Source organism: Homo sapiens, chromosome 8 (assembly GCF_000001405.40).
Source record: "Homo sapiens chromosome 8, GRCh38.p14 Primary Assembly".
NCBI classification, from domain to species: domain Eukaryota; kingdom Metazoa; phylum Chordata; class Mammalia; order Primates; family Hominidae; genus Homo; species Homo sapiens.
In genome coordinates this window covers 67327446-67350816 of record NC_000008.11, presented here as the reverse complement: position 1 = coordinate 67350816, position 23371 = coordinate 67327446, and the positions used below count along the sequence as shown (strand labels likewise).

The window sequence follows — 23371 nt, the reverse complement described above, 5'->3', positions numbered from 1 at the left end:
AAGGCAGGCTTTTAATAAAAAAATTCCCATTAAAAAAATTTTGGAAAACCTGACCTCATTAGAAAGATTAATGTCCACTTATTCATTAACACTTAAAATTATTTTCAGTGTACTAACTGTTGAGGGTAGTTTCAAAAGAAAGAGACAATGTGGTCCTGCCTTAAAATAATTATGGCACAATACTGGTGAGAAGTCATCTCAAACGGATATTTAGAAATATGTGACGAAGAAAGAAATAGGATGAAACAATGGTTAAGAGCATCCATGGATTATGGCAAATGACAAACTTAGATTTGTATTTGGTTGTGCTACACTGTAACCTTGGGCAATTAACTTGTTGAACTTTTTTCCTTCTCAACTATAAAAAAGAAATAATAATATATGTATCACTGAGTTGTGGATTAAGGATTAAGTGACTTAATGCTTGCCAAGAGCTTCATACAAAGTAAATATCCAATAAGTAGTAGCTATCATTGGTGTGACTTTCCGGGAAAAATTACAACTGTGTAGAGAAAAGTAGAGTACAGTGCTATAGATTAAAAGTAAGTACCTTTCGTCATGCTAGAGAATTGTGAAACCAAACATAGTAGGAAAATTTAAGAGTTTATGCTTTCAATTTTGTTATTCTGTAAAAGATTAGCATTGGATGGTTTTAAATTCACGAAAAGCCATATGGCTCTAGATTTGTATTTATTTATTTATTTTTTTGCAACCACATTCTAACTTTTTGGAATGTTCTCTTTATCAAATACCACCTTATAGTCTCTTTTTCAATAAAAATTTGCTTTCTTTTCTTTCTAAATCAAATTCTTTAATACACAATGCTCTCCCTCTGTCTGCCCTGTCCAATGTCTTGATACCTTGCCTGCAGGACAACAAGTAGAACCACCCAGTTTAAAGATACACTATATCCTTTTTTATTTTTTTGGAGACTGAGTTTCACTCTTGTCACCCAGGCTGGAGTGCAGTGGTGCAAATTTCAGCTCGTTGAACCTTCGCCTCCCAGGTTCAAGCGATTCTCCTGCCTCAGCCTTCCAAGTGGCTGAGATTACAGGCATGTGCCATCACACCCTGCTAATTTTTTTTTTTTTCTTTTTTTTGGTAGAGACCAGGTGTCACCATGTTGGCCAGGTCGTTCTCAAACTCCTGAACTCAGGTGATCTGCTTGCCTCGGCCTCCCAAAGTGCTGCGATTATGGGAATGAGCCACTGCGCTTGGCTAAAGATACACTATATCCATTTACTGTCTTAATAAATGAGGTAAAAACAAGCAGACTAGTGAAAGTGGAATATCAAATTAGCTTACATGAAAAGCCAAGAAAGCAGACCATTTATTTTGGAGATGGCCTTTCTTCTATTAGTCATGCCATTATTGTGGTTTCAGCAAAACTGATTGTTTCTGTTTAATCAATGTTTCTCATCTTTTGCTAAGTTGGCTGCCTCATCTTTTTGTGTATGCCTAGTCTTCAAAAACTTAAAAGTAGAGAATTCAACACTACTGGGGACAGTTAGGCATAAAGTGTAGACACAGAAGGGAGAGAATAGTGTTACTGCAGGTAGAAGAAAGAACTTTTAGGAGAGGATGGAATTTCAAAGAGACTTTGAAGGTTGGGAAGCCTTTGGGGAGAACAAATAAAAGAAAGGTGGCAGTGAGCACTCTGGATCATTTGAAAGACGAACAAAGGCACACAGGTGTGAATGAACTTGGTGTTTATATGAGTACGTTGCATGGGGATAAAAGGTAGAGGGTGATTTGGAGAAGGGAATGAGCTGGAACACGAGTGCCTACATGTGTACAATTGAGGAAGAGGGACTGGGGCATTACCATAAAAGACAAACTAAACTGTTAGAGGCGGCATAGTTTAGTTATTTAGAATATGGGCTCTGGAGCTAGACTTGCCAAATTGTAATCCTGGCTTTGTAAAGGTGTCTCCTCCCCGCCCACTCCCACACCCCCACCCCTTTACCAGGAAAGACAAAAGTTAATCACTGGAGACAACTCTGGACCCTTAGGATTCAATAATACATAACAAATTTTATTACCTAGCTTTCATCTTCTGCTAGTTCTCTCAAATTTGCTTCCCAAATTTGCTACGCTAGAAACTCAAAGTCCTTTCCTTTGTAGGATTTTTCTAAAAATTTATTGTTATTTTATTACGATGCTATGGAAGAACAAGTTCTAACCACCACACTTTTGAGTTACTCATCACTGAGTACTCCCATAACTGTACCACGCACAGGTTAATACATCTTTGCTTTTATTAATCTGTCTTTTGTCCATCTAATTTGCAGAGCCCCAGCCAATGAACTAACAACACGGGTAGAGGGAAAATAATTTTTTTCCTCCTCTACCAATGTCAGGAGTCAGATTATGGAATGTTTAAATTCTGAGATTATGTGAGAAAGACTACCGGAGGCATCACATAGTTTTTTTTAGTCAAGTAAACATGATGTTATTTTTTATGTTAACTAATATTGGCTTTCAACATCAACCAAATATGCTCCACATTAATTAAAATTTTATTCAGATTTTAATCTTTGTGTTACACTCAATGTATATCTATATTTAAAAGGACTATGATAAAGCACACCAATAAAGATGCTAAAACCCAGATCAAAGTCTTTTATTGCTTGATATTATTTGACTCTTTGGAAACAAGTGGGAAAATTATCCAAGAAGTAAAGCCAAAGCAGCTAGTACGCAGCAAACTAACAGATGGAAGGGGAAATGATGAGGGGGAATTAGGTGATAGGAAGGTGAGAGTGCAAACTGAGAGGCAAAATGGACTCAGGAAAGCAATTATGTATAAGAAAAATATATAGCTGGGCTTAGTGGTGGGCGCCTGTAATCCCAGCTACTCAGGAGGCTGAGGCAAGAGAACTGCTTGAACTCGGGAGGCGGAGGTTGCAGTGAGCCGAGATCGTTCCACTGCACTCCAACCCGGGTAACAAAGTGAGACTCCGTCTCAAAAAATAATAATAACAAAAAACAAAAAATAAAACAAAACAAAAAAAGGAAAAATATATTTCAAAATTTAGAGGATAGATATTTTAGAAATTCAGAAATAGAATTTGGATGTTTTGAAAACTGCAAGGAGCCAAGTGCAAGTGAATACTGAGATTGCATTTATTTACATAGCTGTATATTAGCACCAAACAACATTAATAATAAAAAGTAAAAAATATATATATACAGGGGAATGTACTCATAATTTCTTTTCTTTTTTTTTTTAATTGAGATCGAGTCTCACTCTGTTGCTCCGGCTGGAGTGCAGCAGCATGATCTTGGCTCACTGCAACCTCCGCCTCCTGGGTTCAAGCGATTCTCCTATCTCAGCCTCCTGAGTATCTGGGATTACAGGCACCCGCCACCACGCCCACCTAATTTTGTATTTTTAGTAGAAACGGGGTTTCACCATGTTGGCCAGGCTGGTCCTGAACTCCTGACCTCAGGTGATCCACCCGCCTCAGCCTCCCAAAGTGCTGGGTTTACAGGAATGAGCCACAGTGCCTGGTCTGTACTCATAATTTCATGTAAAAATCTCCTTTGCCACTCCCTGTGTACCTGTCAATAAAAGATTGAAAATATCCAAGAGCATCAGCTTTATTCTAGAGTCTTACTCTATTTTTGCTACAGGTCTGAGTTAGTATCTTGAGTTTCAAGTGGATAGGAGTGCCCATCTCGTAAGACTACTCCTACCCCCCTCCACCCTCAAGCACCACCACCTTTTGGGTAAACCCAGCAAGGGAAGAGGATGAGTTGTCCTCCCAAAGGAAGATGCAAATCATTCCTTCTGGGAGGGTTAGGTCATATCTCAGAGGAGTTTATTCTTCTGAAACTGACAACTACACTCTTTACCCTCAAATCTTCCATCTAGCCTATCTCTACAAATGGCATTTCCAACTGTTCACTGGTTCCCAGCAGAAACCTGGTATTCATTTGTGACCTCTTTCTCTCTCTAACCTGCACTCCAGTTAATTAAGTCCGGTTTATTCTGCCACCAAAGTATATCCCAAATCTGTCTACTTTGCTCCATCTCCATGCTACCACTGTCATTTCTGGGCTAACCTTTATGCAAATTAGTGAAAGAAGCCTCTTCTTTTGGGCAGACAGTGGGGCTGGATTTCAGCCACACTTGCTCCCTTGTGCCACGATCTCCACAACCTTGCTTGGTGGCCCTGGACCTGACCAAGCCATCCTGCGCTGTTGTAATAAATTTCTTAAAATGTTTTGCCACATCCTCACTTCTCCCCCTCCAATCCATTCTCCATGTAACAGAGGGATTATTTTAAAATCACCAATTTGATCACTTTATCCCCCACTTTTAAAACCTTTCAATGAATTTCCATTGTTATTACGATGAAATTGCAACCCCCTAACATGGCCTACGAGAGTCTGAATGATCTGGTTCCTAGCTCCCTCTTCATCCTGACTGGCACCATTCTCCTTGATCCTTTCAGCCACACTGCCTTGTTTTGTTTCCTGAAACTTGCCAAGCTTCCCCCTACCCCAAGAGACTTTGCCTGGAAAGTTCTTCATGACTTAGTTTGGCTAATGTCTACTCTTCTTTCAGGTCTCAATTTAATTTACTTCTCCCTTCTCTCACAGCACTCTATTCTTTAATCATACTCAACAGATTTGTAATTGTATATTCACTACTGACTTAATATCTTTTCCCTACTCTATACTGTAAGGTCCAAAAGGGCAGGTATCATGCTTGTCTTAGCCTGGTGCCTTTCATTTATCCAAGTTTCTATAAGTTTATAGCAAAGGCCTTCTCTATGCCAGCAATATAATAGATGATGGGCACACAGAAGTGAATAGACAGAGATATGAGGTCCCTGCACTTATGAGAGAAACATGCAACCAATCAACAAGCAAGGCAAGCAGATGAGATGATTATGAATGCTGTGGCACTATCATATCATAGTTCACTGCAGCCTCGAACTCCTGAGCTCAAGCGATCCTTCCTCCTCAGTCTCCTGAGCAGCTGCAACTACAGGTGGATGCCACCGTGCCTGGCTAATTTTTCTTTATTTTTTGTAAAGACAGTGTCTTGCTACGTTGCCCAGTTTCATCTGCAAATCCCGGCCTCAAGCCATTCTCCTGCCTTGGCCTCCCAAAGTGCTGGGACTACAGGTGCCAGCTTGTCTTGTTCATCAATGAATCCCAAGTATGTTTTACGATAAAGCTGACAGCTAAACATAACCGAAGAGTCTGCTTCGTTCATGTAAAGTACAAAATAGTTATTCTAGATGGTTCTTCTCCAAGAGTTCCAATTCAGAAACTAAGACTCCTAACTTGTGGTTCTGCCATCTTCAGCTGTGGCCATAGAAGGGAAAAGAGAGACTGGGCATGGTGGCTTATGCCTGTAATCTCAGCACTGGGAGGCTGAGGCAGGAGGATCGCTTGAGGCCACGAGTTCAACATGGTGAGATGCCATCTCTACCAAAAGAAAAAAAAAAAAAAGGGAAACAGCATGAAAGATTGCTTGTGGGAATTTCTTGTTGGTTTTTTAACAATAGGTTAAGCCTGGATGGCTACACCTAACTTCAAGGGAGGCTGGACAATGCAATTCTATACTAAGAAAGAAGAGTAAATGGGTTTGGTGATCAGCTAGTACCCTCAACAGTACCTGGCACAACACTCCATTATGAAGAAACAAAGATGAATTAGAAATGGATCAACACCTGTGAAAGAAGGGAAGAAAAAAATAAAAGAAATGGAACTTGTTCTAAAAAAGTTTATTAACGTATACACAGAAATCAGTATTATATCTGATCTAAGAGTATAATGAATCCTTCATTTCCAGGAATCTAGAGATAGTCTCTAAAATAAAATTAATGAATTTATAGATTTGTTTCTCAGGACAATAAAGTTTAAAAAAATTAATCTATTTTTCCACTTTAATTTGTCACCTTCAAGTTTTCCATTTTATTTCCTCTGGGTTTTAGCCTTCCTAAATCTGGTCACTTCACTAAGTTCACAGAGTCACTTAAGTTTCTCCTTCCTTAGGTTTGGATGGTTACGTTAGGACAAGCCTATAGTTAAGGCAATCTAATAGAACAGAACAGTGACAGATGCATAGTAAACATTAGGGAACCTGTGTGCGTGGAGCCACAGAAGCTTAGAACTTGGAGACGTGACCCTAGATCACCATATATAATGTTTGCAAATATTTTTATGGTATTCTTTTTCTGCTCAGAAGGAAACTGTAGAAATTAAATACTGCAGAAATTTGAGTTCTACACTCAGACTAAAGCAAACACATGGTCACGTGTGTTAATCTGTTTGTACTTAAAGCTTTTCCATTCTAAACTGGTTTACATGTCCTGGACTAAATCTTAGTATTAAAGGCACAGAAACACAGAACTCTAAGGGACCTCATTCACAACCATTCACCTTAACTGAGTCAATTCAGAAGGGACCTGAAATCTAGAGTTGACCGATTTATCCGACAGAGAGAGAAAAAAGTGAAACATTTTTGAACCCTTATCAATAGGTTTTGGCTTACTTTTCCCAAAACAGAATCCTCCCTGAGGTAGTCGGAGAGCAGAGTCCTGGACAGCAGTTCCGTGCACTAGGGAAGGAAATTTTAGAGTCGAGTGATGCAGGCGGAGACCCTGCGGCTGAGAACGGGCGATGCGGGTGTTGCTGTGACCCCTGGAATGCAAAGGACTGCACCCCCATCAGAAAGTTAGAAAGCCAGTGCAGAGTAGCCAGGAGTCCTGTTCACTCGGCAGGAGCAGGGGTGCCGAGTGGGGGGATCTCTGGTCCCGCAGCTCGGCCGCCACCAAGAGCCCGAAGTGCTGGGCGCGGTGCCACCAGAGGCCCGCCACGCCCCACGCCGCCCTGCAGGCGAACGCTGGAGGCCCCGCCGGGCCGCCGTAGCGCTGCGGCTCGGGCCGCTCCTCCCGCGCCGCCCTCCGCCCCCAGCCTCCCGGCGCCGCGGCAGCTCTGGGCAGGGAGCGCCGCCGCCGCCGCCGCCGCCGCCGCTTCCTCGTCTGCAGCCGTTCGGCCGCTGCGTGACGCGTCGTTTCCTCCCAACATGGCGGCCGGGGCAGGTCGGCGGTGATGGGGGCCAGTTCGCGGCCGCGGCGGGTGCTAATCCCCACAGTAGCCAGGGTAGCCCTTCTCTCGCGGTGCCTCTGAGAGCCGCCGCCACCTCGTCCCTCAGTTCCCGGCAGACAGCCGCCCGGGCCGGGCTCCCTCACCGCCACCAGGGCCGGAGGGACGAGTGAGAGGGGCGGCCGGGACGCGACCCCCGGGCCGGGAGAAGCGGAGGCCCGACGGGCGCGGCCCTCGAGGTACGGCTTCTTGGGGGCGGCGAGGACCTCGACGCCCTTCGCCGACACCGCGGCTGGTCCCGCTCGCCCGCCCCTTCCTGATCCTGCCGCTGCCCTCCACGCCTCCAATCCCCCACCTCCACCCCCTCTCCTTTCTCTCTTCTCTTCCTTCCTCTCCTCCTCCTCCCCTCCAGCCGCTGGGAGCCGCGGGTCGGACGAGCCGCCGCCTCCTTCTCTGCGTCCATGTATGAGGGGAAGAAGACGAAGAACATGTTCCTGACCCGGGCTCTGGAGAAGATATTGGCCGACAAGGAAGTGAAGAAGGCGCATCACTCCCAGCTGCGCAAAGCTTGCGAGGTGGCGTTAGGTGAGCGGGGAGGAGGCCCGGGGGATGGGGTGCTTGTTGTGGGGCGGGGAGGGGGGCGCCTGTGGGGGGGTGGGGTCGCCCGGGGCTTGCCCGAGGCCCGCGCCTCTGACCTCGGGAAGCCCTCGCGGAGCCCTCTGTTCCCTGTCTGGAGTTGACAGGAACTCGGCTGGATGTGGGGCAGAGGCGGGGTAGAGGAGGAAGGGCAGTGAGCTGGGCTCGGGAAACGCGGCAGGGCTTAGGATCGCGGGGCACCTGGGTTCGAGGGATCGACTTGAGAGTGAGAGGATTTTGTTGGTGGTCCGTGAGGTGCGGACTGGATACCACCCTTTGTGATGAAGCAGAAGATGAGCTGTTGTTTATTAGCTTGGAAATTGAGGTGGGGCTGGTATGTCAAGATTGGGTGTGGGAAAGGTTCCGTATCATAATTAACAATAACTTTTTCGTTTGGCGAGGTACTTTGGGGAGATAGGCTGCTGAAGTTGTTTCCTTGTTGACAGTCTTGAGAAGGGGTTTGCAAGAGGTGCAGCCCGTTCTGACATCTCTCCGCCTCCGCCACAGGAAAAACATAGAGTAATATTGTATCTGACTGGGCTGACCTGGAAGAACAAGACCGGTGGTTAAGGGGTGAGGGTGGGGGTGGCGGCATGAAAGCAGGGAAGCAAAGAACCTTTAGATAAAATGGCTTTAGGTGACAAGGGAAGGGAGGGTTTGAAATGAGGAAAATGAAAAAGACAATGACACCCACCAGCCACATGTCTGGACAGTGGCAGCTGCTCTCAAGCTTGAATTGTGATTTATAGTTCAGATGGAAGAGATCTAGTGTAATGAAGCCCGCAGCAGGGAAAATCCAAACAATACCTCCTACCTATGAGGTTAGGCAGATGAGGAGTTGTTAAAGGGGGAACATTGTTAGATCTATTGCATCCATCAAAGTTGAAATCGTTTGAGAGACCAGAACATTTAACACAAAGATACATTCCTAATGTTTACACTTTATAGCACTGGAAATACACTAGGTCAAATTGGCAAGAAAAGGAAGCTTGTTAAATGGGCTTTACAAAAAAGCATTCTTGAAAGGGGAAAAATCCACAATAACTTAAAGTATGCTAGAGTTAAGGAGTCTAGACAACTTAAAATTAGCTTTTAATTATTAAATGGAAGACTACCATTTAATTTGCTGTAATATACTGTAGTTTTTTTTTCCTAGATCGTTAAAATTGGTAATATGAAAAACGTCGAAGAAATTTCATCTTAAAACATTTGAATGTGTAGTATTAGGGGCTTAAGATTATTTTTTCACCTTACTTATCGACCAGAAGTTTGCATTTTGTTATTTTTGTAGCTAACAAAAGACTGTTCCCGGTGTATGAGAAGACAGTTGTCTAGTGGCAAAAACTGTATTTATATCTAGATCCTGAAAGGAATAATATTAAATTGGAGTGAGACTGGGGAGAAAGTGATTTCAGGATTTTTAAAAGAATTGTTATATGTAGGTTTGTAAATTACTTGAAGGTTGAAGAACTTTAGAGAGATTCAAATTAAAGTTTTAAATTTTTGTTTGTTTTTTGAGACAGGGGCTTGCTCTGTCACCCAGACTGAAGCGCAGTGACACAATCAGTGCTCAGTGCCGCCTCAAACTCCCAGGATCAGGCATTCCTCCTGCCTCAGCCTCCCAAGTAATTGGGACTTCAGGCACACCACCACACCTGGCTAATTTTTTTTTTTTTTTTTTTTTTTTGGTGGAGATGGCGGTCTCTCTATATCGCCCAGGCTGGTCTCCAAATCTGGGCTGAAGAGAGCCTCCCACCTTGGCCTCCCAAAGTGCTGAGTTTATAGGCATGAGCTACCTCTCCTGGCCTTAATTTTTTATAATTCAGATTTTTCATGTTACAACATATTTTTAATACATTAAATTGTAAGTATCAAACTGAAGAAATGGAGTGTGTTGTGTGTATGTATATATTTTCCTTCTCCAAAGTAGTAACATAAGTAAGCATATTTTAATGGAGAGCCTACTGGAATGAGAGTCTGAGATCCTAGGTTTAAATCCCAGTTCTGTTACGTTGTAGTATTAGGCAAGTCCCTGGGCCTTAAGTTCTCTGTAAAATTAGGGTATTGAACTTAATGATTGTATGGTCACATCTCCTCTAATGTGCCATAAATGTGATTGCACTGTCCTGTTAACTCGTGCATTGGGTATTCCCTACCACTCATGAGCATCATCTTTAGAGGGCCTATAGCGCTCTAAATGGTCCTTGCCATTTCTGGAGGTCGGGATTACTTGATATGTGTGCCAACTGTACCAGGGTTGTCTATTCCAGATTTTGACAGTTTTTACTTTTTTGTCCCTTCTGTATACTCAATAGAAGCTTGTTACGAGGAATGTGACTATCCAGGGAAGGGCTAGGCACCACAGTACTTTATTTACTTGAGATGTATGAGGCATTTTTTCCCACATTTCGTAAAGTTACATTTAGCCTCCAACAAAGCAAAATCTCAGTAATCTCATGGTAGCTAATCCCTGGTGAACTTTGTTTCTTCCCTTGCAGTCTATCTACATCACCACCCAAACATAAATTGATAAGCATAACTCATTTTGTCTTTGCAGAAAGTATATTTTGCAGGAAGATGGTATTCCCACAAATGTATTGTCCTTGAAGACCGTTAGAGACTTATCTTCTCCACTTCACTATTGAGACCTGGGCCAGGCCCGCTCTGGTCTGTTGGTAATCTATGTGGCCATTAAGCAGGATGGGAAAGCAAACTGAAAAGGCCTGATTTAGTCCTCTCGGTTCTATAGATTGTGAGTGGGTAGGTGTTGGATGGTGAAGATACAGAGATCATTTTGTGGGTGGTGTTATAACCCTTCTAAATACCCACCTGTCTGTCTTCATTCTTTCCCCAAATATTTATTGAGCATACAGCTGAAGGGAGATGGACAGTTAACAGGAAAATACATAGTATGTCAGACATTTAATCCTTTTTTGTTTGAAAATCATTGTATTGGCATGTGAGTAGATTTCTGAGTATTGCCATTCAAAATTAATTCAGCTACCTTTTAACATATGGCCAATTATAGATGGATTTTCTGTAAACTATACTCATGAAATTACAGCTTATTGTGTATTCTTAAAACTTTTTTTTTTGTCAAAAAGTATAACTTATGAAACAGCATGTAGATTAGGGGAAATTTTACTTCATTAAAACAATCCATTCTCAAAGACTTCTCAAGGAACTTTTATTTTCACAGAAAGAAAAATAAACCTTTAAAGGGATGCAGAGTTAATGTAAAACGTTTTTCAAATTTTCTTATGTCAGACTTCATTTTGAAGTAAAGAATGGTTAAAAAAGAAAGAATCCCCCCCCCCGCCCCACACTGTTACACTGTTACAACTGATAAGAAGCCCACAGGCCCAGGAACAGCTCCAGGTTGCCCTCTTTTGGTACCTGCCCTACTACAGCTCTCTGCAGAGAGAGGGAGTCTAGGCTGCCCTAGCTTAGCCTGATCCATTCCTGCTCTCGAGAATCCTGACTTAAAAATAGTCTGGCCATCTGCTGGCAGATGAGACAACAGCTGAGCTATTTTTAGTTTCAAAGAATTTAGGATTGTTGTGGGATTGGGCTTGAAGGTAGCATTGTTTATCTGCTAGGGAGGGTGCAGTTGGGACTTATTCCAGTAAGGCCTCTAAGTTTCAGGAGTTTCTTTTATGTTAGGGTTGTGACTAGTTCAGCTTATGCTTTCTGACATCGAATGAAGAGTATCTATGAAGATACTCTGCAAATGTTAGGATGAAAGAGTTCAAGGTTGGAAACTGTCACTGATACACAATAAGAGTGAAAAAGTTGAAGAGCTGACCAGAAGAAGGTTTTAAAGGGAAGGGAGGCATATACTGGCAGTGATAAGGGTGGGTTCCCAGGAGGTATATGGGAAAATAATGGAGACAAAATTGTTAGGGAAGTAATTTTTGCATCAGACAGGGTATGAATTTATATTGTTCATCATATTATAAAGTGATCCTGCTGACTTAGTTTTCTTATATAAGAGTCTATTACCTGTAATTATAGTTTCATCCAGAGATACAATATTGAGACTCAAACTTTTCAGAACTTGCTTCCTTCTGCCCCTTTAATCCCACCCTTATTTTTGTTGGTGGAGTTATAAAAAAGATACGTCAGTGGAGGGGAAATTACTTGAATGCTTTGGGCCCTGGTTTTATGCTACTTTTGGTAACTATTAATTTTCATCACTCTTCACCATTTATGAAAAAATGATTTATCCCCAAACAATATCCTGCCATCAGTGAACACCTTAATTATAATTTAAATCCATTAACAAATCTCCGTTTAAGCCTTCTTTGATATCTAAAGTAAAAGGTGTTTTCAGTAAGCCAGGCTACCTGAATTTTTGAGATGGGTAGAAGAAAAGAGTATAATTAATGACATAACCGAAAGATTGATCCTATTTGTATTTGTTCTTTTCTTTCACATTTCAGATTTGTTTTTAGGACACTTGCTCTAGAATAGTGTTGACTGAAATAAATGTTGCAGAGTACAAGTTCTTAGAGAAGCTCTTTGAAGAAAATAAGTTTGGGTTGAAAAAATAAGTTTGGATTATAGTGTGTAATCTGTTTCCATTTGGGAAATTTATAATGCACATGAACATAGTTAAGATTCTGAAAAGTCCTCCAAGAAAGACACCTGCTCAATTTTGTTTAATGAAGTTCTTCCTGAATTTATGTGATCCTTTTTCATTGTTTGCTAACTCAGTTAACTCCCCTAGGATATGTTGTTCCTTGGAACTTACTTTGGGACACTGGGGAAAGAAAGACAAGTACAATAACCCTAACTACTGGTGAGACCATCTTCTAGAAGAGGTTTGGGGAAATCAGTGCACAAACCTGTGTTTCTCTAAACACAGGTTTGGGGAAAGTAGTAGATGTGTTAATAGTGTGGGAAGGAGAAGAAAGTCCGAAATAAGGAGCAGTAGAAATATCGAGATCAGAGGACTGTTTGCTGACTAGCTTTCTTTCCCACCCCATCTAGGGGCAGGTAACTCATTTGTGTCTCTTGGTAAGGTTTAACTTAGAGAGAAAATTGTGAATGGGAAATAATTTGGGGAAATATTTGTCATAATATTCCTCACATAATGGAGGAAGGAAGATATTTGAAAAGGAAAAATACATGAGTAAGTTATTGTTGCCATTCCGAACTAGGTATATATTTCAATCAGATATTTGTTGAACTCCTCATATGTTCCAGATACTACTTCATTGCTGGGTATACAGCAGTGAACCAAACATGCTTTCATAGAACACACATTCTAGTGGGGTGAGGGTGATAGTAACAACCTTATATCATCAGAAGAAAGAGTTCAGAAGGTTAAAGGGAAAAGGGTGGGAGTACTGATTTAGTTAGAGTTGTCAGGAAAGTCCTATCTGTGAGATGACATTTGAGCAAAGAAGTGACATAAGTGGGGGATTTAGTCTTTCAGATACTTGGATGAAATAGAAACAGGAAATAGCAAGATGGATGTGTGCTTGGTGTGTTTCAGGATGCAAGGAGGCTTGTGTGGCTGGGAGAGAGACAGAGAGAAAGATGGGAGGGGGTGGGCAGATTTGGGATTTTAGTGACAGCATGTTTATGTTTTTAAAGGCTCACTGTGGCCAGAGACCATGGGGACTTAGGCTAAGTTGGTGGTGGTGGAAAGGGTGATAATTGTGTGCATTTGGAATATATTTTGGAATCCACAGGATTTGCTGATGGGTTGGTTAACAGAGGGGATGGCATCCAGTCTTGTAGCCAGAGCTTCAGGGTAGAGGAAGATGGCATTCACCTCAATGGGGGACACTAGGATAGAAAAAGCCTTTGGGAAATAGATTTTTAGACAGTAAAACATTTTCATCCTGCCTTTTATATGTATTTTAGAATGTTTTAATGATAGAATTTTCAGATGATATAATAGGATATTTTCTACTGAGAATAACACAAAATAATTTCAATTTGTTTTGTCTGTTTTTTTTTTTTTTTTTTTTTTTGAGACGGCGTCACGCTCTGTCACACAGGCTGGAGTGCAGTGGCGCGATCCTGGCTCACTGCAAGCTCCGCCTCCCGAGTTCACGCCATTCTCCTGCCTCAGCCTCTCGAGTAGCTAATCTCGTGTAGCGCTACCGCGCCCGGCTGATTTTTTTTGTATTTTTATTAGAGATGGGGTTTCACCGTGTTAGCCAGGATGGTCTCGATCTCCTGACCTTGTGATCCTCCTGCCTTGGCCTCCCAAGGTGCTGGGATTACAGGCGTGAGCCACCGCGCCCGGCCTGCCTTGTCAGGTTTTTTGCAGGGAGGTTTTTTTATCAAAGAAATGAGCCTTTCACTTGTCTGGTTCTTTTCCTGGAATAGGAACTTTGTGGATGTAGTGAAAGATCTCAAGGTGAAGTTGAGATCCTCAACTTAGAGCCTTTAGGTGGGCCCTAAATCCAGTGAATGGTGTCCTTTTAAGGAAGAGGAAGGGACACAGTCACATACAAAGGAAAAAGTCCATGTGAAAATGGAGACGAGATCAGTTACTGCTGCCACATGCTATGGAATGCCAGAAGCCACCAGAAGTAGGAAGAGGCAAGGAGGGATTCTTCCCTTTGGATGTAGCATAGCTCTGCTGTGACCTTGATTTTAGATTTTGGGCCACCAGAACTATGAGAGGAAATTTCTGTTGTTTTAAGCCACCAAATTTATGGTAATTTATTAAGGCAGCCTTAGGAAATGAATGCAAGTTCCCTTTTATCCTAACTTTTCAGACCCATTTTGATTTCTTTATTCAAGTTTCCACTTACAGAGTCTACTGTACATATGTTTACACAATCAGATCCTGTCTTTGGCTCATCTCTGATTGTTTCATGAATCTAGAAAGCAGTTATTCTGAGGCTTTAGTGTGTTATAAGTAGAGGCTCTTGAAAAGCTTCTTAAAAGGTCTGGGCTCAAGTATTTAAGAATATTTAAAAAGTTTTGTGTTCTGCTTTTGATATTTTGTTTTGCTTAGACTTAGACTTGATGTAACTAAATTTGTTTATATAACCTATGTTATCTTTTCATTCAGAAAAGTCTTTGAAAATCTTTAAAATGGCCGGGCGCGGTGGCTCACGCCTGTAATCCCAGCACTTCGGGAGGCCGAGGCAGGTGGATCATGAGGTCAGGCGTTCGAGACCAGCCTGGCCAGCATAGTGAAACTCCGTCTCTACTAAAAATACAAAAAGTTAGCCGGGCGTGGTGGCAGTGGGCGCCTGTAATCCCAGCTATTTAGGAGGCTGAGGCAGGAGAATCGCTTGAACCTGGAAGGCGGAGGTTGCAGTGAGCCAAGATTGTGCTACTGCACTCCAGCCCGAGAGACAGTGCGAGAGTCCGTCTCAAAAAAAAAAAAAGAAAATCTTTAAAATATTTCATATTACCACTGGCGTGTCTTTAGGAAACGCCATGTGAGGCTATTAATTTTTCTTAACAAAAATGTGTACATTGAGACTTCATTTAATCAGCTGTTTAACAATCCTCATCTGTCAGAACTTTGCTAAGAAATAATAAAAATATAAGCAGTCAAAGTACATATTTTGAAGGCCAAGCACTTTATATAGAAGAGAATCTCTATGGCTTTTACTCAGTCTGTATGCTTTTATAATTCCAGTAAGTTTGGTAATTTGATATTTTTTATAAACGAATCCTTCAAATCATTTTCAAAAGTGTAACTACAACAATAAAATTTACTGTGATACGGGGCCCGGCGTGGTGGCTGGCGCCTGTGATCCCAGCACTTTGGGAGGCTGAGGCGGGCAGATCATGAGGTGAGGAGATCGAGACCATCCTGGCTAACACAGTGAAACCCCGTCTCTACTAAAAATACAAAAAATTAGCCAGTCGTAGTGGCGGGCGCCTGTAGTCCTAGCTACTTGGGAGGCTGAGGCAGGAGAATGGTGTGAGCCCGGGAGGCGGAGCTTGCAGTGAGCCGAGATTGCGCCACTGCACTCCAGCCTGGGTGACAGAGTGAGACTCTGTCTCAAAAAAAAAAAAAAAAAAAAAATTTACCGTGATACTCTTAGCTGAAGATAAATAACTACTGTTAACTTTTTGAAAAACAACTTTCTGATAAATGATTTACATACTATAGTATTTACTTTTTTTGAGTGTAATGATTTTTGGTAAATTTACTGAATTATGCAGCCATCAGCATAAATCCAGTTTTAGAACATTTCTATTACCTCAATAAAATCTGTAGTGCCCTTGTTGTCATCCCTAGCTTCTGGCATTCACTAATCTATTTTCTGTCTTTAGAGTTGCCTTTTCTGGACATTTCATGAAATGCAGTTATACACAGGTGGTCGTTAGTGTCTGGTTTCTTTCAGTATGTTTTTGAGGTTCATTCATGAAGTTTGTATCCACACTTCATTTCCTTTTATTGATGAATAGCATTCCATTGTTTAGATATCCTATATTTTGTTTATCCATTTACCAGTTGATGGATATTTGGGTTGAATGAATAATACTGCCATGAATATTTGTGTATAAGTCTTTGTGTGGACGTAAACTGTTATTTGTCCTAGGTAGACAAACTGGGAAGGGAATTGGTGGGCCACTTGATAAATTTATGTTTAACTTTTTAAGAAACTGCTAAATTCTTTTCCAGCCTACATACCCACCAGCAGTGTATGAGGCTTCCCGTTTCTTCAAATTCTCACCAATATTTGTTACTGCCTTTTTATTTTTAGCCATCCTAGTTGTTATGATGAAGTGTTACTTCATTGAAACACTGTTAACTTTTTGAAGTACAGATTAAATATCCTTTATCAGAAATGCTTGGGATCAGAAATGTTTTCAATTTTGTTTTTTTTTTTTTTTTTGGACTTTGGAATATTTGCATATACATAATGAAATATCTTGGGGATGAGATTGAAGTCTAAACACAAAATTTACTAATGTTTCACATCCACCTTATACACAATCCAAAGGTAATTTTATGCACTATTCTTTTTTTTTTTTTTTTTTTTTGAGACGGAGTTTAGCTATTGTTGCTCAGGCTGGAGTGCAGTGGTGCGATCTCAGCTCACTGTAACTTCCGCTTCCCAGGTTCAAGTGATTCTCCTGTCTCAGCCTCCCAAGTAGCTGGGATTACAGGCATGCGCCACCATGCTCAGCTAATTTTGTATTTTTAGTAGAGATGGGGTTTTGCCATGTTGGCCAGGCTGGTTTCAAACTCTGACCTCAGGTGATCCGCTGACCTTGGCCTCCCAAAGTGCTGGGATTACAGGCATGAGCCACTGCACCTGGTCTTATGCACTGTTGTTAATTTTGTGCATGAAACAAAATTTTGACTGTGTTTTGACTGTGACCCATCACGTGAGATGAGATTCGGAATTTTTCACTTCTGGCTTCATGTCAGTTCTCAAAAAGTTTCAGATTTTGGAACATTTCAGTTTAGGAATGCTCAACCTGTATTTTTCCAAAACTTCATTCTACACACACATACATGGGAGCATGGACATGCACAAGCATATTCTTCAAAAAATTGAACAGCCAGATGTGGCGGCTCACACCTGAAATCCCAGCACTTAAAGAGGCCAAGACAGGGAGATCCCTTGATCCCAGGAGTTCAATACCAACCTGGGTAACATGGCTAAACCGTGTGTCTACAAAAAATACTAAAAAAAAAAAATTACTGGGTGTGGTGGTGTGCACAAGCTACTTGGGAGGATGAGGTGGCCCAGAAGGTTGAGGCTGCAGTGAGCTGTGATCCCACCACTGGACTCCAGCCTGGGTGACAGAGTGAAACCCTGTCTCAAAAAAAAAAAAAAAGGCCAGGCATGGTGGCTCATGCTTGTAATCTCAGCACTTTGGGAGGCCGAGGTAGGCGGATCACAAGGTCAGGAGATCGAGACCATCCTGGCCAACATGGTGAAACCCTGTCTCTACCAAAAATACAAAAATTAGCTGGCTGTGGTGGTGCGTGCCTGTAGTCCAGCTGCTCGGGCGGCTGAGGCAGGAGAATCGCTTGATCCCGGGAGGTGGAGGTTGCAGTAAGCTGAGATTGCGCCACTGCACTCCTGCCTGGCAACAGAGTGAGACTCTTGTCAAAAAAAAAAAAAAAGTATTTAATTTTTAAGGCAATAATAGGAGGAAAAAGAATAGCTAACATTTATTGAGTGTTTACTGTATGCCAGTTTCCGTGCCAATTAAATACTTCATTGACTTTATCTCAGTTAGTCCTCAGAACAACCCTATATGCTTAGGTTCTGTTATTACCTGCATTTTGCAAATGAAGAAAATGAGTTTGTGTTTGGCAGAATTCGAATATGACCTTAGAGCCTACATAGTCATCTTGGGAGTTGTGTTGCACTCTGCTTTTTGGCCTAATGTGTCAGTCCTGTGCTGCACCTTTAATCACAGTACTACATGTTTGTAAGTAACAATACAAAAAGGAAAAGAAGGGCAACTGTAGAAAGAAAGGCACTGTCAAAAAGAGAAAAAGGGCCATATACTGAACAGACATAGAAATAACAGCAATACAGGAAAATATTGCCATGTACATTTCAGTGAATCTCCAGGGTAAATATTCATGTGTTCATCATGGGATCCCCAAATCTGTCGTGTACAATATAATTTTAATTCTCTTTTCTGCTTAAGAAGTCAGGCAAATTCGTGTGTATGTATCTTCTAAGATTTAATTTTAAAGTAAAGTGTCAGTAATTTAAGCCATTTGGAAATTTAATGTGCCCTGTAACACCTCCCAGGGATTCAGGATAGGTTAGCTTTTATTGTGCTTCTATGCCTAACCGTTTAAAACTACTCTCATTTGCTTTTTATATTAATATTTTGTAACATTTCAAATCATTTTAAGAATTGATACAAGAACAAAATCTTATTAAAATGTTATGTTATGTGAAATTACCAATAAGACTTTATCTTAAAATAACTAGTTGTAAATCTCAGTGACTTCATATGTAAGTATATAAAAGTACTTATTGTGTAATTGTCATGATTTTCTGTTCTCTCATCAATATTTCATGTGCATTTTCTATATATCTATGTTGTCTTCCTACCTAGCATTTTAACAGTGTGTCATTTGTTTAAATATTTTTGAGTTTGGGGACATGTTACATTTAAGTTTTGCTGCACAGATTTTTTTTTTAAATTAATCCCTTGCAGAGTTTGTTTAGTGTTTGTTATATATGCAGAACTGTTTAAAATAAACTCTTAAGATTTTGATTGTTGGATTAGAGTGTGGTCATTCATGACTGTTCCTTAAGGCAAGGTTGCCATACATAGTATACCTGTGCTAGGTACAAATAAACAACAGAGCACTGAGGAGGACAAGACAGAGAATTTGCTGTCTTTAGATTTATTGGTTTTGATCAGTGTTTTATCACTTCATCTTTCCTTTGCATTTTTTTTTTCTGTTCTAAGAGTGAAAAACAAAGACATAAAAATTCCTCTTTATAGTTAGGATATCTGTACTTTCATTTTCTATGAATTTGATATTTTTCATCCTTTTTTTCTTGAGGGTTATTAGAGTATATCTTAGTCTGTTTAAGCTACTATAACAGAATACTGTAAACTGGGTGGCTTATGGACAACAGAAATTTATTTCTCACAGTTCTTTATTTCTCACTGGGAATTCAAAGATCAAGGTGCTGACAGATTCCATATCTGGTGATGGCTGGTTCCTTATAGACAGCACCTTCTAGTTGTGTTGTCACATGGTAGAAGAGTGAAATACACCTCTTTTATAAGGGCACTAATTCCATTCATGAGCGCTCCACCCGTATGACCTAGTCACCTCCTGAAGGCCCCACCTCTTAATTCCATCACACTGGGAATCAGGTTTCAACATGTGATTTTTTTGGGAGGACACAAACATACAGACCATAGCAGGGTATATAATAAGTATGTATTTTAAAAGTTCATTTTGTTTCTCTGAATCGATGGGTGTTTTAATAGCAGTTACTAAGTAATTTTAAAACATCACATCATATTCCATCAGTCATTTTCAATTTGTATTAGTATAGTACTTAATGTGGTATCTGGTAAGATTGACTAGTCTTCGTTGTTTCTTAATTTTTTTTTAATAATATTACTTCTTTTTCCAAATAACTTAAGGATTTTCTTTTAAGTTTTCTAATGCTCATTCTTAACATCTTATTAACATGTTACTTAATCAGATTTTCTTGCCTTCTCTTCTTATACATTAGATAAAAAGTGTTATAGTTGGGAAGTAGTTGATTATTTTGTTTCATCCAATTTGTTGGGTCCCCATGCTTCCATTCCCTAAGTTTTACTTTTTACCTGATAATTGAGAATGTGTTTGTTTAATGCAGTATCAGAAAGCAACAATGTTTAATGCAGTGACAAGCAAAGCTTATGTGTAATTTCTGATGTGCTTTGATCTTTAGAAATAAGAATGGAACCATGTGCATCTTCTGCAAAGATGAAGAGTAAAAATAAGGTGTAGGTTGTTTGATACTAGTTAATAGTCAGTAGTTAAGATTTTATAGTATACACCAGTGTCCAAAAATGAGTTTTTACAATTATTAGAGAAAAAATTTTTTATAGTAAATAACAGCTCTGTGTCTATAGTTATCTTGCTAGAAGATACAAAGGCAGAAATAAAGTTATATTATTAGAATGTGTTTTTTTTACTAACTGCAATGATGAATCTGTGTGTTTGAATAAATGAAGTGAAGGTATTTTGTTCTTTTTGTTTCTACCCTCAATCCCCATTTTTATGACTGTTATAGAAGATTCCTTGAGTGGTAAAGTAGAAGGAAAGGTTCTTTTGTTTGTAATATGTACACATTCTTTCCTTAAAAAGTCAATGAGTATGCCAACATATACTCTCTTAAACTTGTATATATGGCTACCTTTATTGAATTGTTTTCCTTATGAAATAGTTAAATATTTCTCAATTCTTAATTTTCTTTTACATTTCAAAAAGCACCCTTTAGTAGGTAATTAATATGCAAAATTATGGTTTCTCTAAGAAAATGTTAGGTTCTCAAAATTGTCACTATTATAGTTCTTTTTGTTTGATTGCTTTTTCTTGGTTTGAATGAAAAATATCTTTAAGAAAGATTTGCTAATCTTTTTCTGTTTTATCACTAAGTTAAAATTATATTTATTTTTACTAAGTAGTTTTCAGTTTTGTGTTATTAAATTGAGTAGCCTTTGTTTTTTTTTATTTTTAGCACTCCCCTAAATGGTTTCTACCAATTCAGTCTCATTGAAGCTTTCTATCCTTAACATTTGTAAAAATAATATAATCTTTCATTAATAGCAAATAAGCTTTGTTTGGTTTTGCTGCTCATGCATGCCTAATGCTGTTCTGTGTAAGATATATCTCACTAGTTAGCTTGACTAAAACTTCTTAATGTAAAGGTTTTATTGATTTAGTAAATTAATGTCCCTAAATATTTTGTCTAAGATAGTCACTGTTAATAATTTGGCTTTTCAGAAAGTGTATAAGAAAACAAAAATTTTTTTTTTGAGTTTGGAAATTAAATGTTCTTAAGAATATTTGCTTTTTTTCTAGCTCTTTCCATTTTTTAAAAAATTCTTTTTATTTATTTATTTATTTATTTATTTATTTATTTATTTATTTATTTTGAGATGGAGTCTTACTCTGTCGCCCAGGCTGGAGTGCAGTGGCACAATCTCGGCTCACTGCAAGCTCCGCCTCCTGGGTTCACGCCATTCTCCTGCCTCAGCCTCCCGAGTAGCTGGGACTACAGGCACCTGCCACCACGCCTGACTAATTTTTTGTATTTTTAATAGAGACGGGGTTTCACCGTGTTAGCCAGGATGGTCGCCTGCCTCAGCCTCCCAAAGTGCTGGGATTACAGGCGTGAGCCACTGTGCCCGGCCTAAATTCTTATTTTTATCCTGAATTGTTTGTTTTTTTGTTTTGTTTTTTGTTTTGTTTTTAAAGATGCCCAGGCTGGAGTGCGGTGGTGCCATGTCGGCTCACGGCCATCTCCGCCTCTCGAGTTCAAGTGATTCTCCTGCCTCAGCCTCCCAGGTAGCTGGGATTACAGGCACATGCCAGCATGCCTGGCTAATTTTTGTATTTTTAGTAGAGACGGGGTTTCACCATGTTGGCCAGGCTGGTCTTGAACTCCTGATCTCGTGATCCGCCCGCCTCAACCTTCCAAAGTCCAGGGATTATACAGGTGTAGGCTACTGGGCCTGGCCCTGAATTTTTTATTTTAAAAAATTACCACAGTATTTCCATTCCTTTTTTTGACCCATTTACGTTAATTTCCTACCGGATTCTCCTTCTTTCTCCTTCTTTTCAAACCCTCAGAATCTCTGTCAGCATTGATTTATGAAAACATTCTTGATTTATAAAGACATTTTAACTCAATTCAAACAGTTTAAAAATAATCAGAGGGTAAGCTGAAATACAAATACACATTTAGTTTACAACTCTTGATGTATCCTTACAAATGACCACTATGTTGCAGAAATGAGGGAAAATTCACTACATGGTAGAACAGTGATAGGTGGAAGTTTATTGCTAGATCCCAGGAGGAATGAAAAGCTAAAAGGATGAGAGAGAAGAGCTAGATATGGAGGACAGGGAACATAAAGCTGTGTAACATATGGATAACTCATTTTCTGAAGCATAAAACAAAAACTAGAAATTGCTGGCAAAACAATAATCAGAGAGATGCTGGAGAAAACTTCTGCACTAAAAAATACTTGTGTGTGCAAACTGCTATATTCTAGGAAGAAAAATACTCGATGTAAAAAGACTTACAAATCTCAGTCTAGCAATATTTTTTAATATTAAAGATAAAAAATTAATCTTGTAAATATCCAGGCAGAGAAAATAAGCTTCCAGAAGAATAGTTCAGTTTGTTAAGACTGTAAAGAATTAGTAGCACCCATGGCTATTTAAGGAAAAAAAAATTATAACAGTTTCAGCCTAGGTACATTTAATAGGAATTTGCTGAAAATGATAAAACAGCAACTCTGCTAATAAACATAGGCATTCTCTTTTATATCTTTTTTAAAAAAATGTCTTATCTCACCTCTCTGTCATCTTTTTCCCTTGTTCCCTTCTTTATCTCCCTCATCTCTCCACCCCTTTCTTTCACCCCCTCTATTTCAAATTCTTCTAGAATATTGTTAGAAAACAATGAGAAATGTGTTACAAAGATATATGTACAAGTGTATTCATCATTTTGCTGTTTATAATTAATAAAATGAAAATAACTCAAGTAGTCAACAATATAGGATTGATTAAATGATGTTGTGTTAATACAAGGGAATGTTACAAAGTACTATGTAGTGATGTGCTTGAAATATACTTACTGAAATGGGAAGATGAATGATTGGAAAAAGCAGATTATATAGTACTTTTCTTAGAACAAATATGTGTAGGTATACAGGGAAAAAGTGTTGCAAATACAAGGAAATTTTGACAAATATAATCATACCAAGTAACACGTTTTACTGTCTTGTGGTAGAACTACTATAAAATATTCATGGTGTGGTTAGAAGTATGTCATTGGGCCAGGTGCGTTGGCTCACGCCTGTAATCCCAGCACTTTGGGAGGCTGAAGTGGGTGGATCACCTGAAGTCAGGAGTTTGAGACCAGCCTGGCCAACGTGGTGAAACCCCATCTATAGTAAAAATCCAAAAAATTAGCCAAGCTGTGGTGGCAGGTGCCTGTAATCCCAGCTA

The 23371-nt window shown here is 39.9% G+C and overlaps 1 protein-coding gene and 1 long non-coding RNA gene across 19 annotated transcripts in view, besides 5 other annotated features; one reads left to right on the top strand and one right to left on the bottom strand.

Annotated features, from left to right (window-relative positions):
* Positions 1-6983, bottom strand: part of ARFGEF1-DT (ARFGEF1 divergent transcript) — a 148035-nt gene extending 141052 nt beyond the window's left edge. Inside the window, exons 1-2 of one of the 2 annotated variants that reach the window (NR_136223.1) lie at positions 6515-6983; positions 5636-5690 (exon numbers count right to left, since the gene is read on the bottom strand). This is a non-coding gene — a long non-coding RNA (ARFGEF1 divergent transcript). The remainder of the gene's footprint in view (positions 1-5635; positions 5691-6514) is intronic. The other variant, NR_136224.1, reaches the window with a different exon arrangement.
* Positions 1236-1736: an enhancer, noted in NCBI's record as "H3K27ac hESC enhancer chr8:68261316-68261816 (GRCh37/hg19 assembly coordinates)". NCBI's record gives its function as "activates a minimal SCP1, AML or CMV promoter by ChIP-STARR-seq in naive H9 embryonic stem cells {active_cell/tissue: H9 hESC(naive)}" and the evidence as "EXISTENCE:reporter gene assay evidence [ECO:0000049][PMID:30033119]".
* Positions 6746-7005: a silencer, noted in NCBI's record as "silent region_19262". NCBI's record gives its function as "represses an Ori minimal core promoter by ATAC-STARR-seq in GM12878 lymphoblastoid cells {active_cell/tissue: GM12878}" and the evidence as "EXISTENCE:reporter gene assay evidence [ECO:0000049][PMID:35858748]".
* ARFGEF1 (ARF guanine nucleotide exchange factor 1) overlaps positions 7036-23371 on the top strand; it is a 170271-nt gene continuing 153935 nt past the window's right edge. For 14 of the 17 annotated variants that reach the window (NR_182117.1, NM_001413186.1, NM_001413187.1 and 11 more), the window contains exon 1: positions 7036-7653. Coding sequence is in view for 11 of the 17 variants with exons in the window: in NM_001413186.1 (NP_001400115.1) it covers positions 7530-7653 (124 nt within the window). In the remaining 6 variants the exon portion in view is untranslated. The remainder of the gene's footprint in view (positions 7654-23371) is intronic. The other 3 variants (NM_001413185.1, NM_001413184.1, NM_001413188.1) reach the window with 2 other exon arrangements.
* Positions 7186-7415: a silencer, noted in NCBI's record as "silent region_19261". NCBI's record gives its function as "represses an Ori minimal core promoter by ATAC-STARR-seq in GM12878 lymphoblastoid cells {active_cell/tissue: GM12878}" and the evidence as "EXISTENCE:reporter gene assay evidence [ECO:0000049][PMID:35858748]".
* Positions 7186-8022: a biological region, named in NCBI's record as "H3K27ac hESC enhancer GRCh37_chr8:68255030-68255710".
* Positions 7342-8022: an enhancer, noted in NCBI's record as "H3K27ac hESC enhancer chr8:68255030-68255710 (GRCh37/hg19 assembly coordinates)". NCBI's record gives its function as "activates a minimal SCP1, AML or CMV promoter by ChIP-STARR-seq in naive and primed H9 embryonic stem cells {active_cell/tissue: H9 hESC(naive and primed)}" and the evidence as "EXISTENCE:reporter gene assay evidence [ECO:0000049][PMID:30033119]".